Raw genomic sequence first — 18,327 nt, 5'->3', positions numbered from 1 at the left:
CAAGGTGTAGTACAGTGACATGATCATAGCTCACTGTAACCCTGAACTCCTGGCTTCACGTGATTCTCCCACCTCAGCTTCTCAAGTAGCTAGGACTATAGATGTACCACCATGCTTAGCTAATTAAATTTTTTTCTTTTTGGTGGAGAAGGGGGTCTTGCTATGTTGTCCAGTCTGGTGTCTTTCATTATTTCTGATGCTATAGTAAATATAATTGTTTTCTTAATTTTATTTCTGGATTGTTCATTGCTAGTTTATGGAAACACAACTGGTTTTTTGTATATTAATCTTGTATCCTGCCACTTTGCTGAACTTGTTTATTAGCTCTAATTGTGTGTGTGTGTGTGTGTGTGTGTGTGTGTGTGTGTGTGTGCATGTTTTGGAGATGAGGTCTCACTCTGTTACCTAGGCTGGATGCAGTGGCTATTCACGGGCCTGATCATAGTGCACTGTAGCCTCTAACTCTTGGCCTCAAGTGATCCCCCTGCCTCAGCCTCCTGAATAGCTGGAACTACAAGCATCTGCTACTGCACCTGGCAGTGTTAGAAGTTTTTTGATTACTGACTTAATCTCCTTACTACTGATAGATCTCTTTAGATTTTCTATTTCTTTTTGAGTCAATGTTGGTAATTTGTGTGTTTCCAGGTATTGTAGTCTTTAGTGTACAAGTCTTGTACTACTTTTGTCTGTTTTATCTTGGTTACCTAATATGTTGGCATATAGTTATTTATAGTATTATATCTGTTTTTATTTCTGTGAGGTCAGTAGTAATGTCTCTGCTTTTATTCTTCTTTTTTTTTTTTTTTTAGATAAGAGTCTCGCTCTGTCACCCAGGCTGGAGTGCAGTGGCGCAATCTCGGCTCACAGCAACCTCCGCCTCCTGGGTTAAAGCGATTCTCCTGCCTCTGCTTCCCAAAGTAGCTGGGATGACAAGTGCCCGCCACCATGCTTGGCTAATTTTTGTATTTTTAGTAGAGACAGGGTTTCACCATGTTGGCCAGGCTGGTCTCGAACTCCTCACCTCAAGTGATCGCCTGCCTTGGCCTTCCAAAGTGCTGGGATTGTTAAGTGTGAGCCACCGTGCCTGGCCTCTGCTTTTATTCTTGATTTTAGTAATTTGAGTCTTCTTTTTTTGGGTCAGTCTAGCTAAATGTCAATTTTGTTGATGTTTTTAAAGAAAAAGCATTGATTTTTCTCCAGTGCTTTAGATTTTGTATATATATATTTAAATCTCTGCTCTAATCTGTAATATATTATTTCTGTCCTTCTGTTTGATTTGGGTTGATTTTGTTCTTCTTTTTCTATAATTTCTTAATGTGGAAGGCTAGGCTATTAATTGAGATGTTTCTTCTTTTTAAATATGTGCATTTACAGCTATAAATTTTCTTCTGAGCACTGCTTTTGCTGTACCCCAATGATTTTGTTATGTCCTTTTTTTCGTTAAATTGTAAGCGTTTTCTAGCTTTCTTTGTGATTTCTATTATTTAGGAGTGTGTTGTTTAATTTCTACATATTTGTGAATGTCCCAAATTTTCTTTTTTTTTTTTCTTTTTGAGATGGAGTCTCGCTCTGTTGTCATGCTGGAGTGCAGTGGCACGATCCTGGCTCACTGCATCCTCCACCTCCCGGGTTCAAGCGATTCTCCTGCCTCAGCCTCCTGAGTAGCTGGGGCTACAGGTGCGTGCCACCATGCCCAGCTAATTATTGTATTTTTAGTAGAGACGGGGTTTCCCAGTGTTGGCCAGGATGGTCTCAATTTCTTGACCTCACGATCTGTCCGCCTCAGCCTCCCAGAGGGCTGGGATTACAGGTGTGAGCCACCGCACCTGGCCCCAAATTTTCTTTTGTCATTGACTTGTACTTGCATTCCATTGTGGTTGTAGAACATATTTTACATGATTTTAGTCCTTTTAAATTTACTGTGTCTTGGTTTATGGGCTACTCTGTGGTCTATCTTGAATAATCTCTATGCTTTTGACAAGAATGTGTATTCTGCTGATGTTGAGTGGCATATTCTAAAGATGTCTTTACCTTAATTTGTGTAGCATTTTTCACTGGGTATGCATTTTTATATGTATTGTAGAAATCATGAGTTCACACCATTACATCTAATGCTAGTCCATCCTAGGAAAGTTCCTTCTTGTTCACTCCCATTCCATGTTTGTATATCTCTTGTTCCACAGTGAAAGCCCTGGCTCCTGACATCATCAACATATTTAGTTTGCTTAATCTAAAATTGCTTCAGTTGATTAACTCATACCATAACAAACAAACCTAAAAAGTTCAGGATTTATTTGCCATTCTTCCACTTTCTTACCTTACCCTGCCAAAGTCTAAAGGCTTAGACTTTGTGTTTTTTAGTTCCTTGGATTAGTTCGTTCTTGCTTTTTTTCTCTACAGCATGGTTAGGGTATTTGTATACAGTATAATTAGGTTCATTTGTTTGCTTTCAGTTAAGTGTTTTTTTCTTTTTCATTCTATTGATCTAATTTTTAAATAATTTAACATAATACAACATTTCATAATACATCCTATGTTATAGCATTATTATATATAATATATATAAGAGTAATATACATTTAAAAGTCAAAATTATGCAAAAGGCATATCAGAAATGTTACCTACCAACTTTGGGAGACATATGGGTTCACGGCATTCTCCTGCCTCAGCCTCCCGAGTAGCTGGGATTACAGGCACGTGCCACCACGCGTGGTTAAGTTTTTGTATTTTTAGTAGAGATGGGATTTCACTGTGCTAGCCAGGATGGTCTCCATCTCCTGACCTCGTGATCTGCCTGCCTCGGCCTCCCAAAGTGCTGGGATTACAGGCGTGAGCCACTGTACCTGGCCCTTGAAAGTTTTTTTTTTTTGAGATAGAGTTTCGCTCTTGTTGCCCAGGCTGGAGTGCAATGGCGTGATCTCAGCTCACCACAACCTCCGCCTCCTGGGTTCAAGTGATTGTCGAGCCTCAGCCTCCCGAGTAGCTGGGATTACAGGCATGCGCCACCATGCCTGGCTAATTTCATATTTTTAGTAGAGATGGGGTTTCGCCACGTTGGCTGGGCTGGTCTTAGAACTCCTGACCTCAGGTGATCCGCCCGCCTCGGCCTCCCAAAGTGCTGGGATTACAGGCATGAGCCACGGCACGTGGCCCCTTGAAAGCTTTTTAAAAGAGGACTTTAATTGTTACTACATCCATTATTAGGAAGCAATTTCTAAATATTACCACCATAGATCCAAGAAGTGAGGAATAATATAGTCACCATGCTCAAATTTTAGTGTCTTATTTAAGCACACATGCATACTTTAAAATGAATCTAATTATTTCTAGACTCTGGCCTTTTCATTCCTGATAGTATTGCCATGGTCCAGGCCCTTGTTATCGCTGTCCTAGATTACAGCAGTATCCCCCCGTAGGTCTCCCCACCTTCAGCCTTGTCCTCCTCAAAAAAATTTTTTTTTCAAGAGATGGAGTCTCACTCTGTTGCTCAGGCTGGAGTGTAATGGCATGATCATAACTCACTGTGGTCACCTTGACCTCAAGTAATTCTCACACCTCAGCCTCCCAAGTACCTGGGACTACAGGTGCATGCCACCATACCTGGCTAATTTTTAAATTTTTTTTTGTAGAGACAGGATCTTGTATGTTGCCCATGCTGGTCTAAAACTCTTGGCCTCAAGCAGTCCTCCCAGTTCAGCTTCCTGAGTCGCTGGGATTACAGGTGTGAGCCATGGCACCTGGCCAAATTCATTTTTTAAATAATGTTATAATCCTGCTTAGATCCTTTAGTGATATCACATCGAGCATGCAACAGGATAAATTCTAACCCCGCCAAGACTCTCTAAGACTGATCTTTTTCTGTCCACTTTTGTGTTGAGCAGTTCTCTTCCTCAGATTCTGTGTTCTGTCAACTGTATCTAGCTTTGCTTTTTCTCTGAGACTGGGTCTTGCTCTGTCACCTAGGCTGGAGTGCAGTGGTGTGATCATGGCTCACTGCAGCCTTGACCTCCCGGGCTCATAGCTTTGTTTTTATTCACACATCATGATGTTTATGTCATTTTGCTTTTTGTTCATGGTTCCTCTTCTGTTGGAGACCTCTTCTTTTCCTCTTAGCCTGCTGCTAATACTTTTAGCCTGGTGATTAAGAGCTTGGGGCTAGGGTTGGCATTTTGGATTGTTCCATTTCTTTAGAATCCCAGCATTTAAGTTTTGTAAATTTTAATTTTGTAATCTTTTAAACTGGAATAACTTTACCTCATAGAGTTATTGCAAAGATTAGATGAGGTAATAAATAAAGAGCTTAGCACAGTGTCAGTTTTTAAAAAACAGTATCTCATCCTATCTCTAAGACTCAGCCAAGAGGATCTATATGTCCCTCTCTGTTGTGCGTATCTCTAATACTACTATTAACACACTACTTCATAGCTACTTTTGAATGGACCTTCTCACTAGCTTCTTAAAATCAAGGACTTCCAAGTTTATCTTTGTATCACTGGTATCTGGCACACAGACATTCAGTAAATATTTGTTTAATGTATGCATGGAGTTTGAAAGAGCTAATCATCTTTAGACAATGCCTTACCTTTTGCACAGGAAGCTTCTGTAAGTGTGTACCCTCAGTTCAAGTGATAATTTTTGTTTTCCTTTCTCTTTGCCAATAGTAAAGTCTTAAAATAGTAATTACATTTATTTCCACTGCACTGAGCTGTGATACCACAAGCTGAAAATCTAGGGAATCCATGGGAAGTTGGCACCCTTAAGGATTAGATCATTTTTCCATATTCAATTTGTATTCTTGTAGTTATGGAATTTGCTTTGAGGATAGTCAATGGAAATCCTTCATATTTGTGTAAAACTTGAGATTTAGATTTTTTAAAAAAGTATTTCCCATGAGATATATTAATGAGGCAATGCCTGATAATCCAGTTGCTTTTCCTGTTCCCCTACCCTCAGTAATAGTTCTTGGAGCGCTTACATGTGACAGACAACATCCCTACCAGATGTTATCTTCCCTTTTATAGATTAAAACGCTCAGGCTTAGGTTAAGTAACTTATTCAAAGTTCCAAAGCCAGAAAGTGGAGGAGCTGGAATTTAAGCCTTAGTTCTTCTAGTGCCCATTCTCTTTCCATTACACCATACTGCTTTTCTAAATAAACTGAAAATAATTTTCTTTTGTTTTTTCTTTTTTATTTTTTCTACCTTAAAGTCTTTTATCCCTTAATTTTATTTTGAATTTATAGTATTTAGTAGTGCTTTTAATTACTTAGTAACTATTTAAACATTTTAATAACAAAAAGAAACCTTTATGGTAAGATATTTAGGTAATATTTAAAGGGATAAAGCTTTTAAAAATTTTAAGCCTTAATTCAAGTAGTAGTTCTTTAAGGTATATGTATTTTATTTTTAATTTGAATCACCGTGAGGAGGATTTGCCATCTCAATGTTCTTAGACTTTAGCAGACTTATTTATTTCTTCCCCTGTTGCATAATCCCTATGCATTATATTGGTCGGGAGGCAGGAATGTTACAGATTCTTTTTTTTCAAAGCTCAGTTTGCTCTGAGATTTGGAATTAACCTTTAGAATGTTCTGGATTTATCCCCCATATGCCAAAGATCTGTAAATATCTTTTCACATGAGCTGAAATTTTCAGGCGATTAAGTGAAATATTTGTGAACGCAGATGTTTTGTTTAAAAGCAGTTAATGAAGTCAGAAAAAAAAATACCTCGCTGTGGAAATACTTTAGGTTCCTCCTGTAATATGATCTGCACATACTTCCTTCTCTTGTAATTCACATTGTTTATTTTCTGAGGGAGGAAATAACTACACTAATAATTAAAACATAAAATTATTTATCCTGTGTTTTTTGCTCCCAGAGTAAACTAAAAATGATTTTGACCGACCAGGGCTGCTTGATTCTGTGAAACTCACATTGTTTGCGTACTGTTGGAGGGCCTCATTAGGGGGTAAATTTGCTTTTTCTGTGTTTGCCAGTAACGATTCCTGTCTCTTACAGGAACTTGCCATTTGGATTGTCTCCTTCCTTAACTGGCCAGCCTTAAACAGTTCAGGCCATTAGTTATTTTTCCTAGTCTTGAAATTTTTAAAAAAATTATTCTTAAGTTTTCAAGTATTTAAAGCTGAGGATATTGGTCACTGAGATATTGCCTAGTTAGGGTTCGGCATTGTGCCCAAATTTGTTGGGCCTCTCAGGGCCTGAGTTCTCTGTGCTTTAACAAATGAGCTACAGTTCTCAAGAGATCAGTGAAGCTTGTTTGTTGATCCTGTATTCTCATCCAGAGGAAGTAGATCTTTGAGAATGTCTAAGGAAGGGTAAGTGATTTTATTATTCTTTCTCTTTCATTTTTCTCAGTGAAGAGGTATCATCTGCATGAATTAAAAGATTAATAAGCAGTGCTACCAGTCCGAGAGTGGAGGTAGAGGCAGAGATTGAAAGAAATTCAGCCCAAATCTTATAGTGTTTCATGTGTAATCTACTATAAAGTTGCTATTGTTGTTTTGAAAGACAGCACTGAGTAAGGGCAATCTTAATAGGAATTTTGTAAGATATAAGTACTTTGTTTACTCTGTGGTAAATTCATTTTGTTTTTCTGCAGAATGTATTTATCAAGATTGGAAGCAAACGGTGGTTTACCGAAGAATTGAGGGAAGCTTAAAAATTCAATGGCGTTTTAAAATAAGTTGTACCTTTAGAAAATGGTGTGAAATATTTAGTGAAAAACAGCCTATGATTTTGTTTCTGGGGCATGTAGGCAAAAAATAATTTAGAGTAGAATTCCCTATTCTAATTTGCTTTGCAATATAAGATAGTTCCATATTATTTTTGTATTATTTTCTCTTATGCTTCAGAGTCTGAATTATTACTGATTCTCTTTTTGTGACCACTATAATAAGTGATAAGTTAATAACTGCATACTGTTGGTTATTTCATTTCTAGCCTTCAGGCATAACTAGACCTGGTTAATTTTAGAGAGATGTTTCTTTTAATAAAATAGGACATAAATCTCTCAAAAAAATTCTTTAAAAATACAGTAAAAGTTTAGTTTTTATTTTTCTGGAATCTATTAATTATCTTTCTAGTTCTTTTGTTCTGTAAGAAAATTTGAAGTGGTTCCAGAGCCTCACATTTACAACTTATTTTAATCTAATCATGTATTGATTATGAACAAAATAAAATTGGCCCACTTTACTGCTATTTTTAGATTTCATTATTGAATAACGAGAACAACCAGGGGTATAAGTAATTCTGTATTATTTTTAGACCTTTTATGACATCACTAGAAATTTGAGGTTTCTTTTAAATGTGAAAATTATGAAAGGACTGCTGTTTTAGATTGGTATATTTTCTTAAAGGACTGCCTTTTTAGGTTGGTATATTTTCTTTCCTTCTACCACTGGCTATAGATAGGTAGGTGTTAAACCATTTTTATGATAAGGACTATCACAGGTGCTAGTATGTTTGTCAATCTTGTACACAGGGTTGTTTATAAAGCTATTATAGTTTGTAGATTTAAGATGAATTGTATTTCTAGACGCGGTTAAAGTTCTTGGAAGTAGTTAGTGCTAATTTTTACCCTATGGTAAAGTATATGTTAGACTTGGTTAGTTAGAGAAAGTTGGAGGGACCTATATTACCCCTCTAGGACACTGTAACGGCAGATTTTTTTTTTAGGTTTATCTCTAGGAGCCTCTGGAGCAATGTCTGTACTGTCCGAATGGATAATAAGTGCATTTGAAGTACATGGAGTATATAAATGACATCAATTAAGTTTTATTCTCTATGCTATCTTTAGAAATAAATGGATACATTTTGTGCTTGGGGATGAAAAAAATTCTTACATTCACCGTTTTCATAAGTGCAATATTGACATTTAGTACCGTGTTATCATTTGATAGCTATGAAATATTTCCCTAATAGTAATAGGAAAAGATTAATAGAGTTAAATCACCCAAAGTTATACTTGAGCTTTATGTAAGTCTATGGTAATTAAGACAGTGTGATATTAGTGTTAAGATAGGCATATAGATTATGGAACCAAATGGGGAGTTCATAGACCCACATATATATAATCAATTGATTTTCAGCAATGAAGTTAAGCTAATTCAATGGCGAGAGGCTAGTGTTTTTTTTTTTTTTTAAGAACAGGTTTCACTCTTGTTGCCCAGGCTGGAGTGCAGTGGCGTAATCTTGGCTCACCGCAACCTCCACCTCCAGGTTGAAGCGATTCTCCTGCCTCAGCCTTCCTTAGTAGCTGGGATTACAGGCATGCACCACCATGCCCGGCTAATTTTATATTTTTAGTAGAGACAGGATTTCTCCATGTTGGTCAGGCTGGTCTCGAACTCCCGACCTCAGATGATCCACCCACCTTGGCCTCCCAAAGTGCTGGGGATTACAGGCGTGAGCCACTGTGCCTGGCCAGGAGAGGCTAGTGTTTTTAACAAATGTACTGGAACAACTGAATATTCATATAGGAAAAAAAAAATGAACCTTGACCCTTGACCTTTATCTCAAACTGTACATTAAAATAAATGGATCATAGACCTGAATATAATCTTTGTGACCCTGAATGAGGTACACATTTCTTAGGTAAACTGAATAAAAATTGTTAGACAAAACTGATAAGTTGGGCTTCATCAAAATTTAAAAAATCAAATTCCTGTTTCTTGAAAGACATCATGAAGAATATTTAAAGGCAAGCTGCAGACTGGGAGAAAATATTCTGAATATGTTTATATCTGATAAAAGACTTGGATCCAAAATATACGAAGAACTCTTGTAATTCAATAATAAGACAGCCCAGTTTAAAAACGGGCAAAATATTTGAATTGATGCTTCACAAAATTGGATTTGAAAAGATGTTATTGGTCATTAGGGAAATACAAATTAAAACTATAGTGAGATACCACTGCACACACACTAAAATGGCTACAATTAAAAACACTGACTGTGGAGCAATGGTAACTCTCATGCATTGCTGATAAGAGTGCAAAAGAGAAAAGAGTTTTGGCAATGTCTTTTTAAGTTAAACATATGCTTAACATATGACCTAGTAATTCCATTTTTAGATATTTACCCAAGAGATTAAAAAATGCCCACATAAATTTGTATGTGACTGTTTGTAGCAGCATTATTTATAATAGTCGAAAGCTGGAAACAAACCAAGTGTCCATTAACTGAATGGATAAACAAATTGTGGTATATCCATACAATGAAATACTCAGGAATAAAAGAACTAATCATATATGCAGCAACATGGATGAATCTCAGAAGTATTGCTAAGTAAGCCAGACACATGACAAAGTAATACTTGATTCCATTTATATGAAAACTACAGTGACAGAAAGTACTAGTGGTAGCTCAGGGCCAAGGGCTGGGGAGGGTATTGCAAAAGAACATGAAGGAATTTTTTGGATTGAAGAAAATATTCTACATCTTGATTGTAGTAGTTGTTGCATGAGTGTATACTGTTATCAGACTCACCAAAATTTTCATTTAAGGGGGGTGAATGTTATTTTAAGTAAATGATACCTTAGTAAAGTTGGTGGAGGAATGAGACTTGAGAAGCTCCTCATCCTGCTGATTTAAAATTTTGTAAAGCGGTTGTTGATTCAAAAGGATATCTTTGGGAAAATATGGTTGCTCCTAGGATGTGTAATGCAGGGAAAAATATACTCTCTTTGCAGTGTCATGATTGAATTAGCCCTCTGGAGTTGTTAAAGTGCTTTTTTTTTTTTTTTTAATTACTAGAGTTGCTGTCGTTTAGGTAAAAGGCCAAAATGAATTTTATTATTTGTTTTTATTTTAAATTCTGGGTTTTGACCTTTCTTCCAATATAGGCACAGTATACTTGTTAATTTGGACTTAGCTAACATGGATAACCATATTTTCTTCTCTAATTTCTATCTCACAGAGTTTAACCCTGAAATTTTGCTGTGTTTTATGAATGATCCTCTATACACTGGTCTTTCAAAAATTGTAGAGAAAAAGTGAAAAACAATTTAGAGGAAAATAGGAAAAAAGGGATTGGAAAAGCCTATGCTTAATTAGACTGAGGTTTTAGAATAGTAAATATATTCTTAGAAGTACTGGTATTGTCCTGGTTTCTCCCGTAACTTGTGTATTTTTCTAATTTGGTAGTCAGCCCTCTCTTATATTTCCTACCATCCTGCTCCCATTATCACAATTTCTTCATTTGAGAATGAAGGTGAAGGGAATTTTAATGTCTTTTCCTTAAATATTTTTGATGAATCTCCTTAAAGTGTGCTTTAAAATCTTTGCTGGAAAGAGAGTCTGCATTATCATCAGTACTCCTATTATTTTATAGTTTTTAAGATAGACCTTCTTTTACATTTAAACATCCCAGAAACTGGGCTATATCTGGCAATATACCACCTAGAATTCAAGTTGAGTTCTTCCAGAGAGGATTTGCTTTCGCTTCTTTCGGTCACCTGGGGAAAATATCAACCATCCTGATAGTATAAATTCAGAGCACAACCTACATGACTGACTTGTTCAAATTCTCAGGGAGAGATTTTCCCCCTCCCTGGACGCAGTACAAAATGGGAAATAGATGTACAGTCAAGGCTGAGATGTACAGATTTCTTTGTGGGCCCTTCTGTGTTGTAGATATATTTCTCCCTTATCCTCATATTATGAGTATATCCCTTTTGCTATCCTAACTTTTTGTGGAATCTCCTAGGCTGTGACTTGGAATTTCCCCCCTTTTCTTACTGGTATATAATATGGGTACATTTTATAATTGATGGCATTTTAAATCTTAATCATCTTAAATTTTGTTCCATGTATGTCTCCATACTGACTTTTCTCTGGAACTTTTAAATACTGAGTATATGAGTGAGTAAAATGAGTATTATAATTTCATGTTTTATTTTATAAGTGATAACACATTTGTTCAGATTTTTAGTGTGTGTGCTGCCGAAGTGAGCACTGTTCAGATTTTTAATGCACAGGAGGCTGTTCTTTTTTTTTTTTTTTGAGACGGAGTCTCACTCTGTTGCCCAGGCTGGAGTGCAGTGGCACGATCTTGGCTCACTGCAAGCTCTGCCTCCTGGGTTCACGCCATTCTCCTGCCTTAGACTCCCGAGTAGCTGGGACTACAGCAGGCACCTGCCACCATGCCCGGCTAATTTTTTTATTTTTAGTAGAGACGGGGTTTCACCATGTCAGCCAGGATGGTCTCAATCTCCTGACCTCGTGATCCACCCGCCTCAGCCTCCCAAAGTGCTGGGATTACAGGCGTGAGCCACCGCACCCAGCCACTGCTGTTCTCTTGACACAATCTGATAAACAAAATGTATCCCTCTTGATGTTCCTCAGAGAAAATGTTAAAACAAATTAGTAAGAAGTTACTGGTTAGAATTTATGAAAGCAAAACTAATGCTACTAGATGTCTGTTGCTTTTAGAATCTAACCCAAAATTTCTTGTTGTGTCTGTATGTCCATGGTATTTGAGCTTTGAATTTTTAAGAATCCATTTCATAAAGTTCTTACCTATAATACTTTTTATATCATTAAGCATACTTTTTACGGAGGATGGAGACATAATGGCAGACTGAGGTCTTCCTATTACTTTTTTTTAATAACAGCTTTATTGAGATACAATTCACGTATCATTCAATTCACCCTTTTAAAGCATACAATTTGATCATTTTAGTATATTCACAGAGTTGTGCAACCAATACCGCTATCTAATTTTAGAACATTTCATTACCCCCACAAGAAACCCTGTACCCATTAGCGGAAACTGCCCGTTCCCTCCTCCCCACAGCCTCTGGCAATGACAAACCCCTATTAAGTTTCTAGTTTAAGCTTAATTTTTAGTTCAGTTAAATATTGTGTCTGCTATTACAAGGCCCTATGTTAGGTGTTGGGAAGATTATAAATCCTGGTCTCAAAGTTTATAATCCAATAAAGAATAAGAGAACTACCATATTTTATGTCTATGACAACATATAGTAAGTGTCAAAACAGGGAATTTTGAAGGTTTAAGCCTCTCATTTGGGTCACAACTTTATAGAATTTTAGTTGCTGATGCAGTTTCTTTCATTAAGTAGAAAAGTAATGAGACCCAGAGACATTACTGTCACATAGTTCTGTGGCACAACCAGAATATTGATAGTTCCTTGACAAAATCACTTGAGATGCAGGGTCTTGATAATTAGAGATAACTGAGGTGGCCCTTTTAGGGAAAAGAATATAAACAAAGCCTTAGGGCATATTTAGGAAATAGCAAGTAGCTCACTTTGATTACTACAGCCAAAGGTGCATGATGTGGGACAATGTAAGATCAAACTGATTTTGACAAAATGAAAGTTTTTGAACTTTAAGATCCAATAATTTGCAATTTATTAATTGGGTAGGTAGTGAGCGATGACTAAAAGTTCTTAAGAGAGTGATATGATTGGATCAGGGTTTTAGGACAGTGCTTCTCAAACTGTCTGTGAGGGAGGACCAGTTTATAAATAACTTTTTTCCAATCTGTTTCAAATGGACACGTTTATAAAATAAAAATGAATTTCAAGAAAAATGAAGACACAAAATGTAAGCCTACCTTTTTTATTACTACATTCAACAAACAAAATTGCTCTGTCAAATTACTGTAAAAGTTTCTAAATACTTAAAATTTCTGTATGTGTCATGTCATGGGTTAGCAACAAATGTTCATAATCCAGCATTGGCCTGTGGACCATGCTTTGAGTAGCACTACTTCAAAGCAATTAATTTGGCATTAGTGCGAGGGCAGAGCAATTGGGAGATGATTGCTGGACTAATGAGGACCTGGACATGTTGTTAGCACTGTGAATTGAATGGAAGATTGGATTCCAGAGACGTTTGGTAATTTAAATGAAGGCACATTAGATGATTGGATGTGGATTTGAAGAAGAGGAAAGAATCAAAAGATAGTAACTAGATTTTAAGCTTGAGTGGGAGAATGGGAGTGCCCATAGCAGAAATAGGAACTAGTTTGGAGATTGGGTTTTCAACAAAAAATCCACATTATAGCATTTTCTATTAAGTAAAAATATGCATATATACAGACACATACTTTTTAGTTCATAATTTCAATTTGCCCTCTCAAAAAGCACTTGTAACTTTTTCTTTTCTTGATTGTAGCAAATTTTCAATGTGTAATTATGCAAGCCCATAAGGAAAACAGATGCCCAAGAAGATTTTATACTTGAATCCTTAGTCTCATTTGTTGTTGCACTAACTGTCATTGGGCACTTGGCCAGGAAATTGTGACTCCTAGGCAAGGGGAGGAGTTACAGATAAAGTTCACCATTGCCAAAGAAATTCTATTCCAAATGGATTTGTGTGGAGCAACAGTGATATCCAATGACAAGTTAAATTAAACACAGAGGTGTTTTCTCCAGCACTGTCTCGGAAGATACATGCTTTTGAGGGGCCTGATTCAGGTTAAACTTCTTGAAGTTAAGTCACAAAAAAACTATACTAGGGACCTTACGAAGAATTTTGTTATGTGACTTCAAGAACTAGTTGACTCAGATAGTTTTACACTTTTCAAAACGGCAACCAGTGACAGATGAGGTAATACTGCTTTGAATTACAAGTTAAAGCCATTAAGATTGCTATTTACAAAATTTCAAATTTAATAAATTGCATGTTCATGTTACTTAAGTGTGAGAATATTCTTATTTCTAAAGCACATTATATTAATGGCTCTATTTCTTATGGTTAATATTTATATTTACTTGGATGGAGTTTATTCAAGTTTAATGTCTTAACTGCTGTGGGATATGATAATAAAAGCTGTTACATTTGTCTTTATATTGAAGTCTGTGCTTCGTTTTAGAGTGTTCCTGTCACCTAGAGATTGTTTTTCATGTTAATGCTCAAATCTGCAACTTACAAAGACTTAGTATGTTGGAATTGCTGGCTAATTGTGCTTTAAGATTGGATGCTTAGTTTAGTCATGCTTTCTAGGGCGGCAAGTTTGTGCTTTTTTAAAAGCAAGCTTCGGGAAGTTAATTTCTCCGATATGTTCAAGCTCTTGAACATAGGGGTGGAGTATGTTCCACTTGTTAATAATTTAGAAATGTGACACAGTAAACTGACATTGGCAAAGGTACAGTCAAGGTCCGGAGACCAATAGAAATTTTTGGATTCCTCAAGCAGATAAATCTTTTTGTTTTGAAATGTATGATGGGGCAGTGGGCCAGCCTTGTAATTGATATAGTACCTTTTAGTTGATATAGTACCTAACACTTTGTTTTGCTATAACCTCAGTGAAGAGTAGTCATTAGTTTGAGACCAAGAGATTAGTTTCTCTTGAAGACTGTATCCTGGAGACATGGTATTTCATGCTTTAAGGCTGCCTCTGTGCTGAAGTCACTGCATACTTTAAGCATTTGGGTGTTTATTATCTTTGTAAACTGTGGAATATATAGCCAAATAACTATATTTGGCTTATTGCAGTTCTCTATAATACAGCTGTTCTATTTTGCCATTATAGCTTTGCTTATGCACTTCAGCTATTCATACAACAAATTAGATTTAATTCCACACTGCGCCTCCCCTCATGTTTTGTAGCCTAGATTAGGGAAAGAAAAGGAAAGATGAGAATATATGTGAGGCTTTTCATTTTTATAAATATCATAATAGAAATGAATTGGGGGGAGACAGAAGTGATTGTTTCTAAGTTCAGGAATTGCTTTTGTGGTTAGAGCACTTATTTTGAATGAAAATGGAAAGATAAAGGATATTTGGTAGAACTTCATAGGAAAACATCATATTTCCTAATTTTAGACTCTTATAAAGTCTGTCCTAGCTCTTTCTGCTCCCTAAAGAACAGCTTATATGACATATGTCACAAAATGGTATCTGCTTTGTAGTAGACAATGAATGTGTTGATTGAATAGTTAATGTGACTAGGTTAAAGAGAGGAGAAGTGCAATTTGATGGATATGTAGCAATGATTATTTTGGCAAAACCAGATTTTCATATTCCTGAAATATGTTATTCCTAGAGTTTACATAGATAATAAAGGTACATTATAATCTTTGAATCCTTAAAAATATACATAAATGATTTGATATATTTTCATGACAGTACAAGCTTAATCTCTTTTCTAACAAAGAAAGAAGCTGGTACTTGGCTGAGACTGTTGTTCTTGTCTTAAGCACTGATTGACATTAACAGCAAAATCTCCTTTTTCCTGTAATGTTAGCTGTGCTTGAAGCTAGCTAGCATCTTTCTTCTATGAGAGTAAAAGCTGTTTCTTTTATTATGTCGTTCCGCATACTTCTCTCCTGGATTGTATCACAAGGGAAAAAATCATCCCCAATCCATTCCTGCTTGTATTCCCATAGAATATTTTAGGCATGTCAGCTGTTAGGGCCTGATCAAGGATTTGATCCAGTTGGCTCTCTAGCCTGAATTAAGAATCTGTTTGAAAAGCCTTCAGTAGTTACATTTAGTTTCTAGAGCTACAACCATTATTTTGTCTTTTATCCCTGTTGTACTTTCAAAAGGATTTATGTAACTGGGAAAATATAATAAAGTAGATGCTTTTATCAGTAATAACAGGGTGATATTTGATGAAATATTAGAAGGTGATATGTTTGGGGGCTGGAGGTTGGAGGGTGTTTTTTGTTTCTTTGTTTGAGACAGGGTCTTGCTCTGTTGCCCAGGCTAGAATGCAGTGGCACGATCTCAGTTCGCTGCAGCCTTGACCTCTTGGGCTCAAGTGATCTTCCTGCCTCAGCCTCTTGAGTAGCTGAGACTATAGGCATGTGCCACTACACGTGGCTAATTTTTTATTTTTTGTTGAGATAGGGTCTCACTATATTGCCCAGGCTGGTCTCAGACTCCTGGGCTGAAGCAGTCCTCCCACCTTGGCCTCCCAAAGTGCTGGGATTATAGGTGTGAGGCACCACTTCTGGTCTCAAACTCCTTTTTAAAAAAAGTCTCCAAGGCCATCTCTACAAAAAAAAAAAAAAAAAAAAAAAAAAAAAATAGCTGGACATGGTGGTGCGTACCTGTGGTCCCAGCTACTTGGGAGGCTGAGGCTGAGGTAGGAGGATAACATGAGCCTGGGAGGTTGAGGCTGCAGTGAGCCATTATCACACCACTGTACTCCAGCCTGGGCAACAGAGTAAGACTCTGTCTTGAAAATAAATAAGAAACATATATAAATATATAAATTAGGCATTTTTAAATGGTGAGGTAAATATCAATAGAAGATCTGATATTTTCTTTCTGTATCCCAGTGGAGGCTTTTTGCATCCCTTGATGCAGTTACTCTTCTTTGGAGACCATTGACCTAGATCACTGATGGGGGAGCCCAGCCCAGGCTTTTTTATTTTTAACAAGTTACTCAGGTGATTGTGATTTTGATGTACACTGCAGTTTTGAGATCCACTGATCTATATCATTCTAATTTCCTACAGTTACTTATGAAATGAAGACAAAGAAAAGGTTTGGTAATAAGAGGAGAAGCCATGCAGTTTTAACTTTGGCTACCAAGCTGAGGATCAAGTGGAAAGGATAACCTTATTTTCTGTCTTTTCCCTTTCCGTTCCCTTTCCTCTTTTCTTTTCTCTTTTCTATTCTTCTTTTTTTTTTTTTTTTTGATGGAATCTTGCTTTGTAGCCCAGGCTGGAGTGCAGTGGTGTGATCTTGGCTCACGGCAACCTCTGCCTCCCGGGTCTAGGCTCAAGCAGTTCTCCTACCTCAGCCTCCTGAGTAGCTGGGATTACAGGAACACGCCACCATGCTCAGCTAATTTTTGTATTTTTAGTAGAGACAGGGTTTCACCATGTTGGCCAGGCTGGTCTTGAACTCCTGACCTCGTGATCCACCCGCCTCAGCCTCCCAAAGTGTTGGAATTACAGGCGTGAGCCACCGTGCCTGGCCCTTCCTTTCTTTTCTTCTTTCTTTTTTTTCTTTTTGAAACAGGGTCTTACTCTGTCACCCATGCTGGAATGCAGTGGTACAATCTTGGCTCATTGCAACTTCTGCCTCTCAGGCTCAGGAGATCCCACTTCAGCCTCCCGAGTAACTGGGACTACAGGCATGTGCCACCACACCCAGCTTTTTTTTGTATTTTTTGTGGAGACGGGGTTTTGCCATGTTGCCTAGGCTGGTTTCGAACTCCTGTGCTCAAGCGATCTGCCTGCCTTGTAAAGTACTGGGATTACAGGCGTGAGCTACTACACCTGGCCTTTATTTTTAAAGATGATTAAAACTTACCCTGAAAGACCATCATGCTGATGATCTACCATACTATTATATGTTCAGTTTTTCCTATGTCTTCATAGTGATCTTTCTGATTATTTCATTTCCTTAAACTCTGATATTTTGGTCTTAAATGCGGGATAAAGTCCAAATTCCCTAATGTGGCTTACAAAATCTTCAGGATTTTGACCCCTACTAACCTTTCATAGCTTTTATTGCTCCTTCCCCCATCCTTGCCCCCTGGAAAACCTCTTTCTGTGAAAACAAACAGAAGCAAAACCAAAGAAAGCTTCTCAACTCCAGCCACAATAAATGCTTTGTAGTTTACTGTAAACCTTTTCTTTGCTTGGTTATTTTGCCTGCGTTGCCTTTCTTGCATTTTCCTAATGGAAAACTACTGATTGATTAAGATTCAGTTCAAACATTTCTTCCTGACCTCTCTAAACAACTGGTACTCTCTCCTCCATGTTATTTTATAGTACTTACTGAATTGCTGAAATTATTTAAAGGTCTCCTTCCTAGTAGGCTGAGTTCCTCAAGGATAAACAGAGTAAATTACAATATAAGTTTCATGAGGGCTGGTACAGTCTTTTGTTCAATCACAGTATCTGGGTGTAATAGACAGTAGCTATTTATTTAATTAGTCTATATTTTTATCTTCAGTGGGCTTTAAATGACTTGTTTATTAAATAAATTATAAATTAATAAGTGAATGAGTTATAAAATCCCAAAAGTAATCTTATTTTATGGGGTCAGACTTTGGAAAGGAGAGCCTCTTCCCTGAAATCTTGAATACATGGCATTTTTAATGCCAGGACACAATACACAAATCTGTATATTTTTGTATAATATCTGATTTCATTTACTGTATAAGAAAGACTTGGATAATATTTTTCAATTTTTAATTTATTTGTTATTTTTTTGGGAACAGGGTCTCACTCTGCTGCCCAGGCTGAAGTGCAGTGGTGTGATCTTGGCTCACTACAGCCTTGATCTCGTAGACTCAAGCAATCCTCCTACCTCAGCCTCCCAAGTAGCTGGGACCACAGGTGCACACCACCATCCCCAGCTGATTTTTGTATTT

General features: G+C 37.0%; 1 protein-coding gene across 49 annotated transcripts in view; it reads left to right on the top strand.

Annotated features, from left to right (window-relative positions):
• Positions 1-18,327, top strand: part of NT5C2 (5'-nucleotidase, cytosolic II) — a 105,256-nt gene that overhangs the window by 33,648 nt on the left and 53,281 nt on the right. For 5 of the 49 annotated variants that reach the window (NM_001351174.1, XM_005269637.6, NM_001351191.1 and 2 more), the window contains exon 1: positions 5,804-6,334. The exons of 42 other annotated variants lie outside the window; for them this stretch is intronic. In NM_001351174.1, the coding sequence (NP_001338103.1) occupies positions 6,321-6,334 (14 nt within the window). In that variant the 5' untranslated portion in view covers positions 5,804-6,320. Of the gene's footprint in view, positions 1-5,803; positions 13,596-18,327 lie in introns of those variants that run through there. 2 more of the 49 variants (XM_047424851.1, XM_047424857.1) reach the window with 1 other exon arrangement.

Source organism: Homo sapiens, chromosome 10, assembly GCF_000001405.40.
Source record: "Homo sapiens chromosome 10, GRCh38.p14 Primary Assembly".
NCBI classification, from domain to species: domain Eukaryota; kingdom Metazoa; phylum Chordata; class Mammalia; order Primates; family Hominidae; genus Homo; species Homo sapiens.
The sequence above is the reverse complement of the archived record's forward strand: the minus strand, read 5'-3'. Positions and strand labels throughout refer to the sequence as shown.